Raw genomic sequence first — 21,985 nt, forward strand, 5'->3', positions numbered from 1 at the left:
GCCCGATAAGAAATGTTTCTATGGAAAGGAATCAGTGAAAACAATGTTACTGTCTTTACACAGTAAAATATGTGCACAGACGGTAAAGGGAGCGTGGTTTTACTCAACGAAGTTATTGTAACAATCAGAGCTTCTAAGGTGACTGCATTAGCCAAGCACCACTGAGTGTTGTGGGGGCCTGTCTCTGTCGCCCATATAGGACTTGGACCCTCTGTGGAACACCCGAGTACCTAGCCCCCGAAGTCATTCAGAGCAAGGGCCACGGAAGGGCCGTGGACTGGTGGGCCCTCGGCATCCTGATATTCGAGATGCTTTCGGGGTAAGTAGAGTCTCTGTAGAGAATCTTCATCTTACAGGCCAGCACCCCCTTCCCCCACCCATTCGTCCACTCGGCATTTCTGTAACCTTGAAAACAGTACGTGAGTGTCGCAAACACACAGTGTGGCTGCACACACATCTGCTGCCCTGCTGAGGTTGGCAATGTGAATTAGCAATTGAGCTTGTGTGAATAAGAGGCAAAAAACCCAAACTTGTGAAGGAACCACCCATGCATGCCCATTGAGATTTTTATATTGAAATATCCATATCTTCTTTAAATATACAATTAACATTCTGGGCTGCTCTGAAGGTAGTGAGTTATCTCAGTTGATATTCACAGTTAGCTACCAGTTGAACTCCTTACTCTGCTTTTTCTCCCCTTATCACTTCTGTGCTTGATTAGTCTTAGAAAGAATTTAAAAATTAAATACAAAAAATAACCTTCTGCACTGACGCTTCCTGAAGCAATCTGCAGGGCTCAGGAGGGCAGAGGTTGGGTCAGTGTAAATCAGCCAAATACAATTGAGTGGTTCCTGGATGAACAGCTGGCAAGGAAGGCAAGAATGTATTCTTTCCTAAAACCCCTGACTTATGTTACCAGGAAGGAGTCCTGATCCAGACCCCAACAGAGGGTTGTAGGATCTCTTGCAAGAAAGAATTCAGGGAAAGTCCATAGATCAAGTGAAAGCAAGTTTATTAAGAACGTAATCCTGTAATCCCAGCACTTTGGGAGGCCGAAGAGGGCGGATCACAAAGTCAAGAGATTGAGATCATCCTGGCCAATGTGGTGAAACCTGTCTCTACTAAAAACACTTAGCTGGGCCTGGTTGGGTGCTCCTGTAGTGCCAGCTACTTAGCAAGCTAGGGCAGGAGAATCGCTTGAACCTGGGAGGCGGAGGTTGCAGTGAGCCAAGATGGCACCACTGCACTCCAGCCTGGTGACAGAGTGAGATTCCATCTCAAAAAAAAAAGAAAGTAAAAAGTAAAAGAATAAAAGTATGGTTACTCATTAGGCAGAGCAGCCCCAAGGGCTGCTGTTTGGCTATTTTGGTGGTTATTTCTTGACTATATGCTAAACAAGGGGTGGATTTTTCGTGAGTTTTCCGGGAAAGTGGTGGGCAATTCCTGGAGCTGAGGGTTCCTCCCCTTTTTAGAGCATACAGGGTAACATCCTGACCTTGTCATGGCATTTGTAAACTGTCATGGCCCTGGTGGGAGTGTCTTTTAGTACCTAATGCATTATAATTAATGTATAATGAGCCGTGAGGATGATCAGAGGTCACTGTTGTCGCCATCTTGGTTTTGATGACATTTGGCTGGCTTTACTGCAGCCTGTTTTATCAGCAGGGTCTTTGTGACCTGTATATTGTGCCAGCCTCCTGTCTCATCCTGTGGCTTAGAATGCCCTAACCGTCTGGGAGTGCAGCCCAGTAGGTCTCAGCCTCATTTTACCCAGCCCCTGTTCAGGATGGAGTTACTCTCGTTCCAACGCCTGTGATACCTGTGTTGGGTGAGATTTGGAAGTCAGGAGAGGTGCCATCCCCCCTGCGACCACATAACAGAGAGGTCGGTCATTTGTTGGGACGTCAGCATGATTGAGTGTTCAAGTCTAGCATATGCCTGAGACAGCTCCACTATGACTAGACCAGAAACGCAAAGGAAGCACGCAACACTTGGAAACCCAGGACGTGGGCGTCATCCTCGTTCCGTTGTTAGTGCTAAGTTGACTCAGTAGCGTGGCACTTTTCCAGATAGGAACCTGTAGGAAGGAGTGAGCTACGTGTCAGAGGAACTGTTGCACCGTGTGGCTCTGCACGAAAGACTCTTCTCTAGGATGAAGACGAGAGGAAGCCCAGCCAGCGAGGGCCCAGAACACTGGTTGGGGGATCCTCTGCCGCGCTTTGCCACAGCCGACACTCTGCCTCCTAGGTTCTCTATTTTCCTGTTTCCTTCTTTCTTCTGCTTGCCCCCGAGTCTCAAAGACAGACACCAGCATATCCTCTGACTGCCCTCTGTTGTTGCAAAAGCCAGATCTCTCTCACATCTCTCTGATTCCCTGCAGGGGTTAAAGACCAGAGATTTTTACTGGGAAAACTTCCCTTTCAGTTGGAAACAAAGGAGGGAAGGAAGAGAGGCATTCTCCTGCTGGGAAGGTGTGTCTAAGCCAGATCCTGGTGGTGGGGAGCACCCAGCTCTTGTTCCTGAGGGTGTGGAGCATGTGACATTCTAACATCCACCTCAGGAAATCCAGGCAGTCGCTGACTTTGTTTGGGGAGCAGACAGGGGTCATTGCCCCCATGTGCTTATCTCTGCCGTGTTTTATGAAAAAAGTGAATCCGTTAATTCCCACACTAGCTTAGTGATCTGAATGATGTTGAACAAGCATTATCAAAGAATTCCACGATGAGAAGCAAAGGGAGGAGAGTGGAACTTTTGAAAACCTGTATTTCATTGTCTGGCTATCCGTGTATTGTTTATCATCCATCCATCCACCCATATATCTTTTTATCTAAGTCTGTATACTTATCCATCCATCCACACACCCACCCATTCATCCATCCATCCATCTATCCATCCTTCCACCCACCCACTCCTTTTCCATCTCTATCCACCCAACCATCTATCCATCCATTTGTCTGTCCACCCATCCATCCATCCATCTATCCATCCATCCATCCATCCATCTACCCACCCACCCACCCCTGTCTATCTCTATGGTCTACCTCTTATGTATGTATATACACATCTGTTTTTCCATTTATCCTTATCTATCATCTGTCCAAGCTCTCATTTAGATATTTGTATATCCATCTCTCTGTCCATCTTTTTATCTCTATGATATTTTTATCTGTCTACCTACCTATCATCTATATATTTACCTGTCATCCGTCATTCATGTATCAGTCTATCTACTTCCTATTCATGTGTCTTTCTGTTTATCCAACTGTTAATCATTGATCTTTCTATGTAACTGTCTACCTACTTACCTATCCATCTGTGAATCATCTCTCTACCTATTCATCTGTCTGCTTTTCTATATATCTATCTACCTATTCATCTATCAATCATCTATCCACCTACCTACCTACCTATCCATCTATCTCTACCTGTCTGTCTGGCTATCAAACATCTATCTACCTACCTACCCGCTGGTCTTTTGAATTTTCCTTTACTCTTTGCTGAGACATGCCTGCAAATCACATAGAATCAAACTTCTCCATGTGCACCTGAGCCCATGACGTCCTAGGCAAACCCAAAAGGTTAAAAATAACTTAGGCAGGCTGGGCGCAGTGGCTCAAGCCTGCAGTTCCAGCACTTTGGGAGGCCCTGAGGTTGGGAGTTCGAGACCAGCCTGACCAACGTGGAGAAACCCTGTTCCTACTAAAAATACAAAATTAGCTGGGCATGGTGGCACATGTTTTTAATCCCAGCTACTCAGGAGGCAGAGGCAGGAGAATTGCTTGAACCTGGGAGGTGGAGGCTGCAGTGAGCTGAGATCCCACCTCGCCATTGCACTGTAGCCTGGGCAACGAGCGAAATTCCCGTATCAAAAACAAAACAAAACAAAACAAAAAACGCATATTGATTGGCATCCACCCAGGGAAAAGCACCACATTTTCCCTCTATGATAACACCGACCACACGAGGGCAGCATTGCCTAAGGATCATTCATTGTATGCTGGGGTCTGAAGAGTGAGGTGCATGTGCCTCAAATTTTATTGGTGATTGGATAGAATAGCCTGTTATTAGAATGCAATATACTATTAGAACATAATATTGTTACAATATAACAAAATTATTAGAATATAATTAAAACAAAATGTTAGTCTCAGGGTACGCTGAAGTTAAAATACATAAAAATAAATTTAAAAAGAAAAGAATATTACAGTCAGAACTATATTGGAATTATTATATAAAGTTATCAGAATTGTTAATGGGCTATAGTATATTAGAATATTTAAATATATTAGAATACAATAGAATGGAAAATAACCTAATTATAATATATCATTAGGCTAATTGAAAATTAATATTCCAGGTGTGGTGGCTCACACATATAGTCCCAGCACTTTGGGAGGCCGAGGCTGGCGGATCACCTGAGTTCAGGGGTTTGAGACCAGCCTGGCCAACATGGTGAAACCCCATGTGTACTAAAAATCAAAAAATACTAGCCAGGCGTGGTGGTAGAAGCCTGTAATCCCAGCTATTTGGGAAGCTGCAGCAGGAGAATCACTTGAACCTGGGAGTGGGATGTTGCAGTGAGCTGAGCTCGCGCCAGTGCACTCCAGCCTGGGCAACAGAATGACACGTGTGTCTCAATAAAAAAGAATAATTAAATAAATAAACATCTCCCAATCTAAAGCCCAGCCTGCTGTCCTGTGCATTTTATGAGACAGGGAGCTGTTGATTCAGAGTAAGCCTTTTTTTATTTTCCGTTTTCCTAATTAGAATCTATTTCTGGGTGAATTTTTTCCCCTATTTCTCAGCAACCTTGTGTCTCTTTGCACAGGTGGGTTTTGTAAGAGTGGCAAGCCTCGCCAACCCCAACTCTCCCCAGGCATTTCTGGGCTCTCCCTCCACTCTCGCTGGCCTGAGCTCTTGCCTTGACGGAGATGCAGGATACAGCTTTCTCACAGTCTCCTGCATCTCCTGCCTGCAGTACCTTTTCGTTGAAGCAGCTGCAGGTGTCTTGTCTATGTGTGTCCCTCTTCTCTTGAGAGCCCACATGTAGCTTCCTGGATGACTGAAGTAGAATTGGAGGCTCGTTATCGTGAGGTTCTGAGACAGTCTGTCTGTGGGTTGTCCACCCGCCTTAGACAACAGCCTCACCCCTCCTTGTCTTCCCACTGCTTTTTAAACATGCCAGGAAGCCTGACCTGTCCCCCTGCCTATGGGTGTCCCTGGGGCTGGCCCTTTCTCTTCCACTGCACATGTTGCGAGCTCACCTGTTACTTGCTCCCAGAGCCCTCTGGGGCTCCTCCTGTTCTCCTGGGCCATGCCCTGTCCGATCAGCCCATCTGTTTTCTTTATACTGCTTAGCAGCTCTGAAACCAACTTGATTTTGTATGTGTTGACTGCCTCTGAGAGCAATGCTCCCAAACTGCTCTCCTCACCTCCTTGAACCCGGAAACTTTTGGTGGCTGGAGGGAGGGCGCTGCTGCACACATAAGTGGAGCTGGCCTGCAGTCAGAGTCCTCCTGCTCCCTTCGCAGCCCGTGTCTGCACCTTTCCTATCGCAGCTCGATTTGCTGGATTCCCACTCTTAGCAGGATCAAGTGAGGCTGTGCCTTCTCTGTTTTATTGCTTTAACTGATTATCTCAATCTTCCACTAAGCACAGAGAAAACCATCTATGTGGTAAAATCTTTCATGTGATTAGGAAGGAGATCATATCATAATGCAGATTTTATTTTCACATAATGAGACATGTTTAGGTCAGATGAAAATTGCGTGGCACGTTCTGGAACAAAATCACTCGTGCACTTTCCAAGGCCCGAGCTCAGCTCTGATTTCTCCCATCATGTTCTCTTTTCTCATCCATTTCCATGTTTGTGTTCTCCCAGAGTGTTTAACTCAAAAGTTAGGTAAAGGCTGGACATGGTGGCTCAAATGCCTGTCATCCCAGCACTTGAGGAAGCTGAGACACAAGGATTGCTTGAGGCCAAGAGTTCAAGACCAGTCTGGGCCACATACTGAGGCCCCATTGCTACAAAAAATAAAAATAAAACTAGCTTGGTGTGGTAGTATGTGCCTGTAGTCCCAGCTCTGCAGTAGGCTGAGGTGGGAGGATTGTTTCAGCCCAGGAAGTCGAGGCTGCAGTGACCTGAGATTCCAGCAGTGCACGTCAGCTTGGGAGACAGAGCAAGACCCTGTGTCAGAAAAAGGAAAAATAAAATCAGCAAAAGCATCAAGAACAAAACACAGGGACACACAAGACATACAGCAGAGTGCAGGGTAAGAGAAAGCCCCCAGGGTGTCTTGTCTTAGTTATGACAGCAGTGATTCTCAAGTGGCATCCCAGAGGACTATGGGGTTCCTGAAGTGTGTTTCAGCAGATGAGTGAGATCATTTTTCCAACGACAGATCTGAATAGTGATGAATTTTCTTCATAGGAACAAACTAAGACAATACAACATAGCACAAAGGGTGCAGAAGATTTTAGAGAAGGTGGACTCTGTCTGCAATGGAGCCTCTTCCACGGGGAGCATTAGGCATTGTGCAGTGGGTTCTCAAACATGTTGGCCTTGGGACCCCTTCAGCACACAGCTCAAAGTTATTAACAACCCGCAGAACTTTCATTTCTGTGTGTTATAGTTGTCTACGCTGACTGCATTTGAAATTAAAGTGGGACTGAAATATAAATAAATAGAATACATAAATAATATATATGAGAAGTTAAATGATAGTCGCAGAGGTGAATATAAATAGCTTTTTTAAATGAAAAAATAAATACGTGTAACCACACTTTGTAGAACTAAGACCATTCAGGTTGGGCATGGAAGCTCACGCCTCTAATCCCAGCACTTTAGGCGGCTGAGGCAGGAGGATCACTTGAGCCAGCAGTTGGAGGCCAGTCTGGGCAACATAGCCAGACCTCATATCTACAAACAATAAAATGAAATAAATAAACAATTAGCTGGGCATGGTGATGCATGCCTATGACCCCAGTACTTTGGGAGGCTGAGGCGGGAGGATCACTGAGGCTGGGAGGTCGAGGCTGCAGTGAGCTGTGGTCTCGTCACTGCACTCCAGCCTGGGCGACAGAGAGACCCTGTCTCTAAAAAGAGAGAAAACATTCGTGAGGAGGTTGGTTGTATTTTCTGTGTTTTGTGAATCTCTTTAGTGTCTAGCTTTCACAAGGGCTGCTGGCCTCTCCTCCCTCTGTCTGCAGCCTGTCTGCTGTGCTGCGTGGTGTTTAGTTGAGGCATAGGAGAAAAGTTCATCACTATTCAAAACTGGAGTCAGAAAAACGACCTCAGCCATCCCTAAACTGAGGTCAGGAAGCCACCCTGGGACTCCACTTTGAGGGCCACTGCTGTGATGCCCAAGTCAACATGCCCGGGGCTATATTTTCACCCTCCACTCTGCCCCAACCCTCACACGCCCCAGTGCTTGCTCCTTCCACTTTATCTGGCCCTCGAGTTTCCCTTTCTCATCTGCCACCTCAGCCACACTGGTTTATCTGAGGAGCACAGATTTTATATTTATTTATTATTATTATTATTTTTTGGAGAGAGTCTCACTCTGTTGCCCAGGCTGGAGTGCAGTGCTGTGATCTTGGCTCACTGCAACCCCCATCTCCCGGGTTCAAGCGATTCTCCTGCTTCAGCCTCCCAAGTGGGTAGGATTACTGGCATATGTCAGCATGCTTAGCTAATTTTTGTATTTTTAGTAGAGACTGGGTTTCACCATGTTGGCCAGATGTCTCGAACTCCTGACCTCAAGTGATCCACCTGCCTTGGCCAATCTTCCAAAGTGCGGAGATTACAGCCATGAGCCACTGTGCCCAGCCTAGATTTTAGTTTTTAGTCTGAAGGTATCGGGACAGGAATCTTTGAGGAAGAAGTCAAGGTGGGATGAAATTCTAGTGACGGTTTTTTTCTTTTCTCTAAAAATCTCTGCCTTCCTTTTCTTGCAGGCATTTCCAAAGCACGTGTCTTCCAATGCCAGCCCTGGTCTTCAGAACTGGGGCAGGTAGTGTGTCAGCTGATAGTTTAGGAGGGTGTTTTTCCAGCTGAGGTCTCTGAGTAGGAGACCTCCTCTCAACACCACCTCTGCCAGGACCATCTATTTTATGGGAAGATGTAGATAGGTGGATGATTGCATTAAAATTTTATGGGCAAATGATAGAGGTAGTATGGTACAATTGGCAAGAATTTTTTTTTTTCTTTTTTTTTTTTTTCAGACAGTCTTGCTCTGTCGCCCAGGGAGAAGTGCAGTGGTGCAGTCACAGCTTGCTGCAGCCACCACCTCCTGGCTCAAGTGATCCTCCTGCTTCTGCCTCCTGAGTAGCTGGGATGACAGGCACACACCACCATGCCTGACTGATTTTTTAAAAATTTTTTTGTAGAGATAGGGTCTTGCTATGTTACTCAGGCTAGTTTCGAATTCCTGGGCTCAAGGAATCCACCCACCTCAGCCTCCCAAAGTGCTGGGATTACAGACATGAGCCACTGCACCCAGCAATTTTTTCTTTTGAGACAGGGTCTTGTTCTGTGTCCATACTTGAGTTCAGTGGTGCAATCATAGCTCACTGAAGCCTCTACCTCCTGGGCTCAAGTGATCCTCCTGCCTCAGTTTCTTGGGACCACAGAAGGCTGTAGGTGGGAACACAGGCACACAGCAGCACATCCAGCTAAATTTTAAATTTTTTGTAGAGATGAGGTCTCATTGTGTTGTCAGGCTGGTCTCGAACTCCTGGGCTCAAGCAATTCTCCTGCCTTGGGCTCTCAAAGTGCTGGGATTACAGGCACGAACCACTGTGCCCAGTGTTTTTTTCTTTTGAGACAGGGTCTCACTCTGTCGCCCAGTCTGGAGTACAGTGGCACAATCATAGCTCACTGAAGCCTTGACCTCCTGGGCTCAAGGGATTCTCCTGCTTCAGCCTCCTGAGTAGCTGGGACCACAGGTGCACACCACTACATCCAGCTAGTTTTTAAATTTTTTGTAGAGACAAGGTCTTCTCTATTGTCCAGGCTGGTCTTGAACTCCTGGGCTCAAGCAGTCCTCCCGCGTTGGCCTCCCCAAATGCTGGGATGACAGGTGTGAGCCACTGTGCCTAGCCTGGGCATGAATTTTTCAGGCAAAAATCTTGAGCTTGCATTCATGCTGATTAGCAGATAGTCCTTGCAAGTGTAGCTGTCACCACAGATCAGTTTAACTTGCTTAATAATGCCAAATGCCGTATAATGAGAATTTATTCTCCGCTTGGTAAGAATTGGAAGCAGTCTGTATGTTTAGAGACAGAAATTTGAGGGTTTCAGAGGGCACTGCCCAGGCGTCCGGGGGAGTGCTGTTTCTCAGACACACACACACACTGTCTCTGCTCTTTCTTTCAGGCAAGATCATCAGTTAGTGCTCACTTATTATTTATTTTTTTCCGCTTATTAATACCTTTCCCATAATCTTATGTAATGTCTACTGTCCAAGAGCACTTCGTTTAATATTCTCCATAGATGTTTTTAGGTATGTATGAGACATTTGCTCCTGGAGTTTAATGCTCCATTCCTGTATTTGTGCATTATTCACACAGCTGAATGTATTGACACAGGGTCGCCCCCCAAACCCAGAGAGAAACAGGAATGCGACTCCCCTAACTACTGTTAGAACGCTGCGGGCAGGTGAGGGAGGATGGGCTCGGGAGGTTGTTAACGTCTGAGGCAGCAGGGTTGGCGCAGATCGCATGAGTGTCTGTACTCAGAGCTCTGCTTCCCAGCCTGGCCTAGGTGGTTTTTCAGTACGTTGTGGTGGCTCGTAACTCCAGGACCAGCGGCCCAAAGAGATACCCTATTGGGAAACTCACCTTCATGCTAAAGTGCAAGACGAGCAACTGAAATGTTATTTAAGACGGAAGAAATGCTATGTTAGGGCCACGTCACACATACCTAATCATTTACCTTTCTCTGGTAACTTTCATTTCCTCATGTAACCCTCCCCCACTTCTCTGTCACCTCTCCCATTGATTTCCATTTTTGTACTTCATATTTCTCCTCTTTGTTTTTCTTTGAATTTTTCTTCACTGCAGTGTATTGGACAGTTCACATGTGTAGTTCGACGTATGAATGTCCTGACGCTGCAGTTAGAAACTATCACAGACTGGAAGGTTTAAACAAGAGAACTTTATCCTCTCTTAGTCCTGGAGACCAGAAATTTGAGATCAAAGTATCTCAGGACTGTGCTCCAAGGAAGGATCCTTTCTGCCTCTGCCAGCTCCTGGGGCTCCAGGCATCCCTGGACTTGTGGCCGCATCACTACAGTCTCTGCCTCTGTCCCCATGTGGCCTTCTCCTCTGTGTGTGTGCCTCCTCTTCAGTCCCTTATGACAATACTTGTCATTGGATTTGGACCTACCCTATTCCAGGATGATTTCGTCTGAAGCTCCTCAAGTTAATTCTATCTGCAAAGACCCTATTTCCCAATAAGGTCCCATTCATAGGTTGTTGGGGCAGGATCACAGATATATCTTTTTGGAGACCTCTCATTCCACCCACTCCATTGAATTTCATTAAGGTCAGGAAGTGATTTGGAAGCTACAAGAGAATTAATTTTGCTCTCTGGCATTTCTGATCATCAATGAGGGTATCATTTGAAAGCTCCATTTTATAAGGTATTTCTATTGCTTGAATACCTGGATTAGAGTATTTAAGTCAAAAGAAGCTAAATAGAAAGCATAACTTTGAATCAGTATGAGTCTCTGTCCTGGGCGATATCAGAAAATCTCAGAAGTATAACTTGTGCTTCGGACATGTAGGGATCTAGTATACACTTACTGGTTGATGATATGGTTTGGCTTCGTGTCCCTACCCAAATCTCATGTTTAAAAGTAATCCCCAGTGTTGGAGGCGGGACCTGGTGAGAGGTGGTTGGATCATGGGAGTGGTTTCCGACATTTTAGCAACATTGCCCTAGTATTGTTTCATGATAGAGTTCTCAGGAGATCTGATGGTTTTAAAGTGTAGTACTTCCTCCTTTGCTTGCTGTTGCTCATCTGCCGCCATGTAAATATGGCCTTGCTTCTCCTTTGCCTTCAGCCATGATTGTAAGTTTCCTGAGGCCTCCCCAGCCATGCGAAACTGTGAGTCAGTTAAATCTTTTTTCTTTATAAATTACACAGTCTCAGGTAGTTCGTCGTAGGAGACTGAAAATGGACTAATACAGTTGACTTCTAGATTTTCTTGGATTTAGCTTGGTCTTTGCAGTTTTAAGTATTTTTTTTAGTTTATTTAACATATTTTTAAAATTTCAAGGTATTACTAAGTCTGCTGGTTTCTTCAGCAGGACTACAGTAGTTTTACTACAGTCGACAGAGCGTAGTATGACAATCTTGTTTTTACACAGGTACCACTATCTTCCAGGCTGTCTTTTGTATTTCCATCTTTCTTCTGGTCTCTGGGGATCAGTAAATGGTTTTCTTTGGGTAATGAGATTTGGTCAGCTTTGCAGACCACCCAGTCTCAGTTACAAGTATAGACTCTGCTCCTGCACATTAAAAGTGGTCATATAGTGAGACCACATCCCAACAGAAAGTAAAAAATTAGCCAGGCATGGTGGCACACACCTGTGGTCTCTGCTACATGGGAGTTTGAGGTGGGAGGATGGCCTCCTGGGGGAGGTCAAGGCTACAGTGAGCTATGATTGCACCACCGCACTCCAGCCTGGGTGACAGAGTCAAACCCTGTCGCAAAAAAAAGAAATTTTTGATAAAGTATAACTGGAGGCTCTTTCATTCGGCCTGTACACATTGTGTGCCACCTACTGTTCTGTGAATGAGGAATATAAAGAAATTCACTGATGGGTGTGGTGGCTCACATCTTGTAGTCCTAGTATTTGGGAAGGTTGAAGTGGGAAGACTGCACAAGCCCAAGAGTTTGAGACCAGCCTGGGCAACATAGTGAGATCTCATCTTTACCAAAAATTAAAAACAAACAAACAAACAAAAAACAGCCTGGCATGGTGGTGTGAACCTGTAAACCCAGCTGCTCAGGAGGCTGAGGTAGGAGCATAGCTTGAGCCCTGTAGGTCAAGGTTCAGTGCAGTGAGCCAGGATCACGCTGCAGTACTCCAGCCTGGGGGCAACAGAGCAAGACCTTGTCTCAAAAAAAAAGGACTTCACTGACGTTCAGTTGCAGTTTATTGTGGGTGCCTTATAGTGCTGTGCAAGCAGGGTCAGTACTGGGCTCTCCAAGGCAGGACATATCGGCTATTGCTTGTGCTGTAGACTGAAGGAAGCCTCGAGAAAGGTGTCCTGTTCTTGGCCATAGTGGCGTATTCACCACTATAAACTTTACTTTAACAATTACTTTATATTTGATTTCATTTCTATTTATTTATTTATTTACTCCGTCTCACTCTGTCACCCAGGCTGGAGTGCAGTGGTGCAATTTCATCTCACTGCAACCTCTGCAAGTGTCCTGTTCTTGGCCATAGTGGCGTATTCACCACTATAAACTTTACTTTAACAATTACTTTATATTTGATTTCATTTCTATTTATTTATTTATTTACTCCGTCTCACTCTGTCACCCAGGCTGGAGTGCAGTGGTACAATCTCAGCTCGCTGAAACCTCTGCCTCCCAGGTACAAGTGATTTTCCTGCCTCAGCCTCCCAAGTAGCTGAGATTACAAGCACCCACAACCATGCCCAGCTGATTTTTGTATTTTTAGTAGAGACAGCTTTCACTGTGTTGGCCAAGATGGTCTTGAACTCCTTACCTCAAGTGACCTGCTTGCCTTGGTCTCTCAGAGTGCTGGGATTATAGGCATGAGCGACAGTGCCTGGCCTGTATTGTATTGTACTGTACTGTACTCTACTGTACTGTACTGCACTGCACTGCACTGCATTGCACTGCATTGTATTATTTGACTTGTTTAAAATACTTTATTTTATTTTGTTTTGTATTGTATTGTAGACAAGGTCTCACTCTTATCACCCAGGCTGGAGTGTGGTGGTGTGATCACAGCTCACTGCAGCCTTGACCTCCTGTGCTCAGGTGATCCTCCCACCTAAGCCTTCCAAGTGGCTGGGACCACACATGTATACCACCACACCCAGCTAATTTTTTTTTTTTTTAAGACTGGGTTGTGCCCTATTTCCCAAGCTTATTTTATTTTTTAAATTGATACATAATAATTGTACATATTCATGGGGTACACAGTGATGCTTTGATACGAAGAATGGAGTAATCAGATCAGAGTAATTAGCATATCCATCATCTCAATCATTTACCATTTATTTGTGTTAGGAACATTCAGTATCCTCTTTCTGTCTGTTTGAAACTATACGACATGTTATTGCTAATTATAGTCACCCTACAGGGCTATAGAACACTGGAACATATTCATCCTATCTGGTTGTAATTTTATATCCTTTAACAAAGCACTCCCTGTCTCTCATGTCTTCCCTTCCCAGCCTCTAGTATCCTCTGTTCTTCTTTATCCTTTTAGGAGATGAGCTTTTTTTAAGCTTCCACGTATGAGTAAACAGAAGTGCTGTTTAATGTTCTTTTCCTGGCTTATTTCACCTAACATAACATCCTCCAGTTTCATGCATGTTGCTGCCAATCAGAGGATTGTATTCCTTTTCATGGCCGAATAGTATTCTGTGTGTAGATACCACCTTTTCTTTACCTGTCTGCTCATCTGTTGATGGGCACCTACGTTGATTCCCTATGTTGGCTGTTGTGAATAGTGCTGTGGTAAACATGGGCATGCCGATGTCTCTCCAGTATCATGACTTCCTTTCTTTTGAACAAATACCTAGTAATGTGATGGCTGGGTCATACGCCAGCCATCTATTATACTCCATAATAGATGGGAGTTCTATTTCTAGTTTTTCGAGGAACCTCCATACTCTTCTTTATGGTGGCTCTACTAGTATACATTCCCATCAACATTGCATAAGAGTTCCCTTTTCTGCCAGGCACAGTGGCTCATGTTGGTAATCCTAGCTATTTGGGAGACCAAGCTGGGTGGATCACTTGAGCCCAGGACTTTGAGACCAGCCTAGGCAACATGGTGAAATCCCACCTCTACAAAAAAAATACAGAAATTACCTGGTATGGTGGTGGGTGCCACCTACTGTGGTCCCAGCTACTTGGAAGGCTGAGGCAGATGGATCGCTTGAGCCTGGGAGGTGGAGGTTGCAGCAAGCTGAGATTGCACCGCTGCACTCCCACCTGGTTGATAGAGCAAGACCCTGTCTCAAAAAAAAAAAAAAAAAAAAAAGAGTTCCCTTTTCTTCACATCGTCACCAGCATTGTTATTTTTGTGTGTATACGTTTTTTTTTTTTTGTTTTTTGTTTTTGTTTTTGTTTTTTTTTAGACAGAGTTTCACTCTTGTCACCCAGGCTGGAGTGCAGTGGCACAATCTTGGCTCACTACAATGTCCATCTCCAGGGATTCAAGTGATTCTCTTGCCTCAACCTTCCAAGTAGCTGGGACTACAGGCGCTGACCACCACACTTGGCTAATTTTTGTATTTTTAGTAGAGACGGGGTTTCACTGTTGGCCAGGCTGATCTCAAATCCTGACCTCAGGTGATCCACCCCTTTCAGCCTCCCAAAGTGCTGGGATTACAGTGTCTTTTTGATAATAGCCATCTTAACTGGGTTGAGATGATTGACACCTCATTGAGTTTTTGATTTGCATTTCCCTGATGATTAGTGACGTTGAGCATTTTTTTCATATACATGTTGGCCTTTTCCATGTATTCTTTTGAGAAATGCCTGTGAAGACCACCTGTCCATTTTTTAATTGGAGTGCTTATCTTTTTGCTGTTGAAACGTTTGAGTTCCATGCTTGGTCATGGTGATGGATTCACCCTGGTAACCTTGAGAGAGCATTTCTATCCATTGTTTAGTGCTCAGTTAAGGAATGGGCTGGTGGCCCCTCTGAATAAGATGCCCAAAGGAGTTACCTTCTGCTCAGCAGATGTCTCTCAAATGGTCTTTATATTCTCTCCAAGGGAGCTTCCCCTGCATCGGACTGTGGCACCCAGTGCCTTGCCTCTTAGAACCATCTGACTATTACGTGCTTTCAGATCGTGACAACTTCAATGTGTGGGGAAGAACATGTGAAATAAATTATCTTCTGCCTGTGTGAAGCAGAAATAGCTATCGTTACAAAGCAGGGATTTTTTTCCATGCTTACTCCCCACTAAAAATACATGTTTGTTTTTCTAACAGGTTTCCTCCATTTTTTGATGACAACCCGTTTGGCATTTATCAGAAAATTCTTGCAGGCAAACTATATTTCCCCAGACATTTGGATTTCCATGTAAAGTAAGTAAACCGTTTGCCTCATCATGAGGTGTGTTTATTTTTAAAGTGTCTAAAATCACCATGAAAGCACGCACTCAGCAGGATACCATATTGTGTTATTAAATGTGCTGCGCATAAACTATTTTGGACAGTTGTCTTTTCCACAAGAAAAGAAAAAGATTTTCAGTATTCTACTTTAATGATAGCTTCACATTTTAATGAGTCTTGGCTGTATTGTGTTCTTTTGGTGGTATGTTATATTTAAAATGAGCCAATTAATGAGTTTGTCATCATATTTTATAAGAGAGCAGTTTTGCAATTTGACAAGAAGGATCCTCCTAATTCTGTGGCTTGCAGAGCTGTTGATGGGTTTACCAGAGTTTTATCCTTTCTCTCCTGCTTAAATTATGCTCAGCCTCTAAGTCCTTTTTAACATCAGCATTTTCAGTTCTGAGCATGTTGCTTTAAGAACATTTATATAGTTGCTAGATATTGGCAACTTTGGATGCACATTTTATTAAGGTTGTGGCAGTAGGGAGAAAAGACATTTTGTTAAATATAAGAATGCTTTTGGTTTTCTGGCTACCTTACCCAATCTGGTCAACTGGTAGCCATTTTTACTGTAATAAGCACTGATTTCTGTTTGTTTCACTGTATTTTTCAGATGAGTTGGTGGGCGCACCAGCCCCCTGGGCACAAACTAGAGCTAAATGCATCTAGTTGAGAATTAAACTTTTCTTTTCCATGGCCTATTTTCTTATGAGCTGGTGGTAGTTCAGTTCAGAGAAGACTTATTTCAGGGTGATGGACCAGGTTGTTTTGAATATGCCCTTGTGGGGCTACTGGCTACGTTGAGTTGAGTTTCTTGGTGGCGAATGCACCCCATCCTAACCAGAGGTCCTTTGTCTGAACAGAAGATAAGGTCGTGTTTTATTGGCTTGAGCATGTGTTGTGTTTGACACAATAGAGGCAGGCTTTAAAAGACTTTAGCAAGAAAATGAGGCTCTGCTTAACAATGAGTCACCTAGAAGGGACACCCTGTCCAGTGAATGGTAAGACAGGGAGGTGTCAGGGGAAACAGCACCTCAGAAGCCAACTGCTCTGGAAGGAAATAGAAAGGATTATATAGAACCTCTCTCTCAGGCTCCAAATCCCATCTGAGTTGAGTGACATTATATCAAGTGGATGGCAAAGCACTTTTATGATCGAGTTTGGCCAGGTGAGGTGCTTATGCCTGTAATCCCAGCACTTCAGGAGCCTGAGGTAGGAGGATTTGTTGGGGCCAATAGTTTGAGGTCAGCCTGGACAATGTAGCAACACCCCATGTCTACAAAAAATTAAAAAATTAGCCGGACATGGTAGCAGGTGCCTGTGGTCCAGCTACTAGAGAGGCTGAGGTGGGAGGACTGCTTGAGCCCAGGAAGTCGAGGCTGCAGTGACCTGTGATTGCACCACTACACTCCAGACTGGATAAAACAGTGAAACCCTGTCTCAAAAAAAAAAATTAAAATTAAAAAAAATGTGTGTGTGTGTGTGTGTGTGTATATACATGTATGTATATATATACACACACACACACACACACAAACACACAGAGAGGTTTCCAATGTTCTGTGGAAACAACAACAAAAAAGGGAATTACAGAAGTAGAACAAACCAGAAGCGTAATCAAAGTCCAGTTTCTTGCCACTTTTCCTTCTTTCTCTCCTAGAGAGTAGGGAACCATCAGTGACCATCTTGGTATTGTCTAATCTAACGTGCCTGTCTTTATGCAGCTCCCAGCCCCTTCCAGTGTTCCCCACGATGCCCCTGTCTCTTTACATACCCAGTGCGGGTCCACCAAGAGCAGAAACAGTGGTAGTTGAGTAAAACTTCACTTCTTTCCATTATTTGTTAAATCTTATCAAATTGGCTGAGAAGCAAGGCCTCAATGACTCATATCTTTCCTTTTTTTGGTAGAGATGGGTATGGGGGAGTCTTGTTGCATTACCCAGGCTGATCTTGAACTCCTTGGCTCAAGTGATCCTCCTGCCTTTTCCTCCCCAAGTGTGAGCCACTGCACCTGGCCTTAGTGACACATTTCTTATGCAAATTGCTGTCCCTGGTTGTCTGTGATGCTAGAATTTTGATTCTCAGCTTTTAAAGTCATGCTGATTCCTGCAGCTTTTAACATTTGACTGGGTAAACATATTGCCTGGGCATATGGCACGTCAGAATTGACATTCCTTATAGAAATAAATGTCATTTAAAAGAAAGAAAAACACCAAAACAAAGCTTTAGGACTTGTTGCCAATTCAGCAGAAGTTTTATCTGCCAGTGTTTTTTTCATGCCTGAAAGTATCTGGATCTGAGAGGAGCCAGCTGTTGCCAGGATCATAAATAAAGTTTAGAATTTTGGCTGTGGTGAATCAAAAGAGTGCCAGCAGATATATTGCTATCCTGAGGTCAAGGGACCCATCTACAGCTGTGGACACTTCTATTGTTCCTTTATAGGGCTTTGCCTTTTTGGGGGGCCCCTTCTCATCCACAGTGTTTGCTTTCTAAACTTCTTTACAAGAATTTGCTTTGGTATTTTACTTTTTCTTTTAAAGAGACGGGTGTCTTGCTCTGTCACCCAGGCTGGAGTGCAGTGGCACAATCATAGCTCACTTCTGCCCCAATGTCCTGGGCTCAAATGATGCTCCCACCTCAGCCTCCTGAGTAGCTGGTGCTACAGGCACACACCACCATGCCTCACTAATGTTTTGATTTTTTGTAGAGATGGGGGGTCTTACTATGTTACCCACACTAGTCTCAAACTCTTGGTCTCAACTGATCTTGCCACTTTAGCCTCCTGCATAGCTGGGATTACAAGCCACTGTGCCCTGTATTTTAAATAAATCTTCATTTTCTTAGATGCCAAACACCAAAAGAAAAACAAAAAACAAAAAACAAGGTCATCTTCTTACATGCCAGACACCAAAAACAAAACAAAACAAACAACAACAACAACAGCAACAACAAAATGAAGTTTATTAAGGTGATCCCCAAAACATCCTGAAATAAACATGGGGCTTTTCTTCCCCTATAATTTACACATCACTGCCTGCCCCATTAGCACACATACTTAAAAGCTGATTGGATTGGAATTATAAGGAAACAAGTTTATTTAAAATATAAAAGCATAAAGAAATCTGTCTTATAATCCCACTCCAGTCAGCTTTAAGTTTAGTGTGTGCACTAACGGGGCAGACAGTGGTGTAAATTTTATGGGGGAAAAAAAGCCCCATATTTATTTGGGACTGTTTTGGGGGTATAGTGTTTGATGACCTTGATATTTTTTGGCAAGGGGCAGCATGTCAAAATAATGAAGGAGAAACTCGGTAAGTACTGTAAAGGTTTCTAACTTTTCAGTGATGTTTATATTCCCCACCCTGCTCAAAGCTTTTCAGCCTTACAATGGTTACAAAATCCCAGCCATAGCGGGAGGGAGACAGATGGTCTCTGAGTTTTACTTTGAGACAGAGAAGCAGTGAAGTGTGACAAGCATCTCATCGTAATTCAGAAAGCACGGCAGCAGGAAACTCTGGTTAAATTTCCAATCAGATGGGACTGGTGAGATTCACAGTCTAGATGGTGGAGTCTGACCCTGGGACATCACCTGGCTTGCAGAGACTCCACAGTCTGTCACAGAACCCAGGAGTGGCCCAGTCCAAGTTCATGCTACTTACCCTGGGGCATAGTTTATGCCGGGAGAGCCTAGATGCTAACACCGCAGTCATAGGTATTGGATTGTTTTGGGGGACTTCAATATATTACATTATTATATCATATTATGTACATTATTATACATAATATACTCTGTGTATTATATGTGTACACACAGACACACATGATCATTTCTAATTCCATAAATATGCATCTTAGAACTCACCTAATCTCCTGGAAGTCTTCAACATCATCTCCAACTACCCATCCTAATTGAAGCAGCTTGCTGTTTTTCTTTTGTTTTGTTTTGAGACAAAGTCTCACTCTATTGCCCAGGCTGGAGTGTAGTGGTGCCGTCTCAGCTCCTTGCAACCTTCACCTCCTGGGTCCAAGCAGTTCTTGTGTCTCAGCCTGCCAAGTAGCTGGGACCACAGGCAAGCATCAGCATGCCCAGCTAAATTTTTTTGTTTTTTGTTTTTTTAAATAGAGGTGGGGTTTCACCGTGTTGGCCATGCTGGTCTCAAACTCCTGACGTCAAGTGATCCATGCCCGTCGATCTCCCAAAATGTTGGGAGATCTCCCCTCCCCTCAAGCAAGGTTAATAGAGCAATAACAATGTATAAGTTATTACTCATTATTTTGTTTACTTATTTATTTTATTTTTTAAACAGTTTTACGGAGAGTGAATTCACACGCCATGCCATTTACCCATCTAAAATGTGCAATTTGGTGGCTTTTAGTATACACACAATTTGTACAGCCACCCCCGTGGTTAATCTTAGAACGTCTTCATCAGCTCAAAAAAAGAAACCCTGCACCCTTCAGCTATCACTGTTCTAATCTTTCCTCCTCTCTTGCCCTAAGCCAGTGGTCCCCAACCTTTTTGGCACCAGGGACTAGTTTCGTGGAAGACAGTTTTTCCACGGAGCATGCAGCCTAGATCCCTTACATGTGCAGTTGACAGTAGGGTGTGTGCACCTATGTGAATCTAATATGGCTGATCTGACAGGAAGTGCAACTCAGGTGGTAATGCAAATGATGGGGTGTGGCTGTAAATACAGATGATGCTTCACTCATTTACCTGCTGCTCACCTCCTGCTGTGCGGCCCATTTTGGTTCCTAACAGGCCATGGACTGCTACTGGTCCATGGCCCTGGGGTTGGGGACCCCTACCCTAAGCAACCACTAATCTACTGACTTCTCTGTACAGTTCTATATTCTGGGCTCTGCTAAAAATGGAATTGTACAAAATATAATGTTTTGTGTCTGGCCTGTTTCACTGAGCATGATGTTTTCAAGTTTCATCCATGCTGTAGCCTGTGTCAGAGCTTCCTTCCTTTTCATGGCTGTATAGTATTCTATTTGTGTAGGTGGACCTCATTTTATTTATCCATTCATCCATGGATGGACGCCTGGGCTGTTTCCACCTTTGGCTTTTGTCAGTAGTTCTGCCATGGACATGGGTGTATATATTTTTATGTATGTAAGCAATGATTTTAGAAGTTATACATCAGGTATGATTTCTACAAACTTTTTATATGGAGGCAAATACATAATTGACAAACAGACTGTTCCATAAATAGTATCATACTTTATATGCATGTTTTGGCATTCCTGGATTTGATAGAATTCATGGACGTTTTGTAGGCTGTTTCTAGCTCTGGACAACATTGGAGGGACTTATACATGGAGGGTCTTCCATATTCATCTTGACCCTGTAAATTCCATTTTGGAGAGACACAGTACACCAGGGTGTGAGGGTTGAACCACTTGGCTCTCTTGGGTTCATGTTGCATCCTCTGTGTGGTTTGGGAGTCTCCAGTGACTGCCATAACAACTGACCACAAACAAGGGGCTTAAACAACAGGAATTGATGCTCTCCCAGTCCCAGTCGTGGAAGCCAGGACTCTGAGATCAGATGTCTCAGGCCTCCAGAGGCTCTAGGGGAGGATCTTTTCTGCCTCTCCCAGCTCCTAGGGGCTCCAAGCATCCCTGGGCTTGTGGACACATCGCTCTAGTCTCTGCCTCCGCCTCCATGTAGTCTTCTCCTCTGGGTCTGTGTCTTCTGTTCTCTCTTTCAGAAGTACACCTGTCATTGGGTTTAGGGCCACCCTAATGCAGGATTATCTCATCTTAAGAGCCTTCCCTTAATTACATTTACAAAGACCCTATTTGCATGTAGGGTTCCATTGCCGGGTATTGGGAGTCAGGACATCGGCATATATTTTGGGGGCCACTGCCCAGTGTGTAATAATTGTTTCCACTTCCTGCTAGAGGCTCTAGGGGGGGATCCTTCCTGCCTCTCCCAGCTCCTGGGGGCTCCAGGCATCCCTGGGCTTGTGGCCACACCACTGCAGTCTCCACCTCCATTTTCACATGGCCTTCTCCTCTATGTTTGTGTCTCCTCCTCTGTCTCTTATGAGGACACCTGTCACTGGATTTAGGGCCCACCCTTCTCCAGGATGATGTCATCTCAAGAACCTTAATTTAGTTACATCTGCAAAGACCCTATTTCCAAATAAAGTGATATTCACAGGCACTGGGGGATAGGATGTGCACATATCTTTTTGAGGGACATTGTTTACCGTATAACAGTAGTCAAGCCTCTGTCCTTTACATTATTTGCAGACAGCAACCGATACCTTCAGGTCTCCAAGGAGCCTGTCCAGCCAGGTTGCACGTTGTGGACTCATCTGTGCCACGGCTCTACATAAGATTGGACGGGTCCTGTTTTAATGCCATAGCCATTTAGAAAAGAGCTGGGTCTCTTGCTGGGACTGCAGGGAATCACAGATGACCCATATCTAGAATATGCTGGGAGTGGTGTAGTGACCATCATAGGTACCCTCCAAGGGGAAAGAACAAGTTTCCTCATCAAAGGAATTGGGGAAAAGCTCACAAACTCTCAAGCTAGGTCTTAAAGTCTAGTTAAATCTTCCTGATAGGGAGATAAACTGAAAAAGACTTAAGAAAACACTGACTTTATTTTATTTTATTTTTGTAA

The 21,985-nt window shown here is 44.2% G+C and overlaps 1 pseudogene across 1 annotated transcript in view; it reads left to right on the forward strand.

The window, feature by feature from the left end:
* Positions 1-21,985, forward strand: part of PRKY (protein kinase Y-linked (pseudogene)) — a 107,576-nt pseudogene that overhangs the window by 66,944 nt on the left and 18,647 nt on the right. Inside the window, exons 4-5 of the transcript NR_028062.1 lie at positions 200-319; positions 15,220-15,315. The product of NR_028062.1 is annotated as a protein kinase Y-linked (pseudogene) (transcript). The remainder of the gene's footprint in view (positions 1-199; positions 320-15,219; positions 15,316-21,985) is intronic.

The sequence above is a fragment of the Homo sapiens genome, chromosome Y (genome assembly GCF_000001405.40).
Source record: "Homo sapiens chromosome Y, GRCh38.p14 Primary Assembly".
Lineage (NCBI taxonomy): Eukaryota > Metazoa > Chordata > Mammalia > Primates > Hominidae > Homo > Homo sapiens.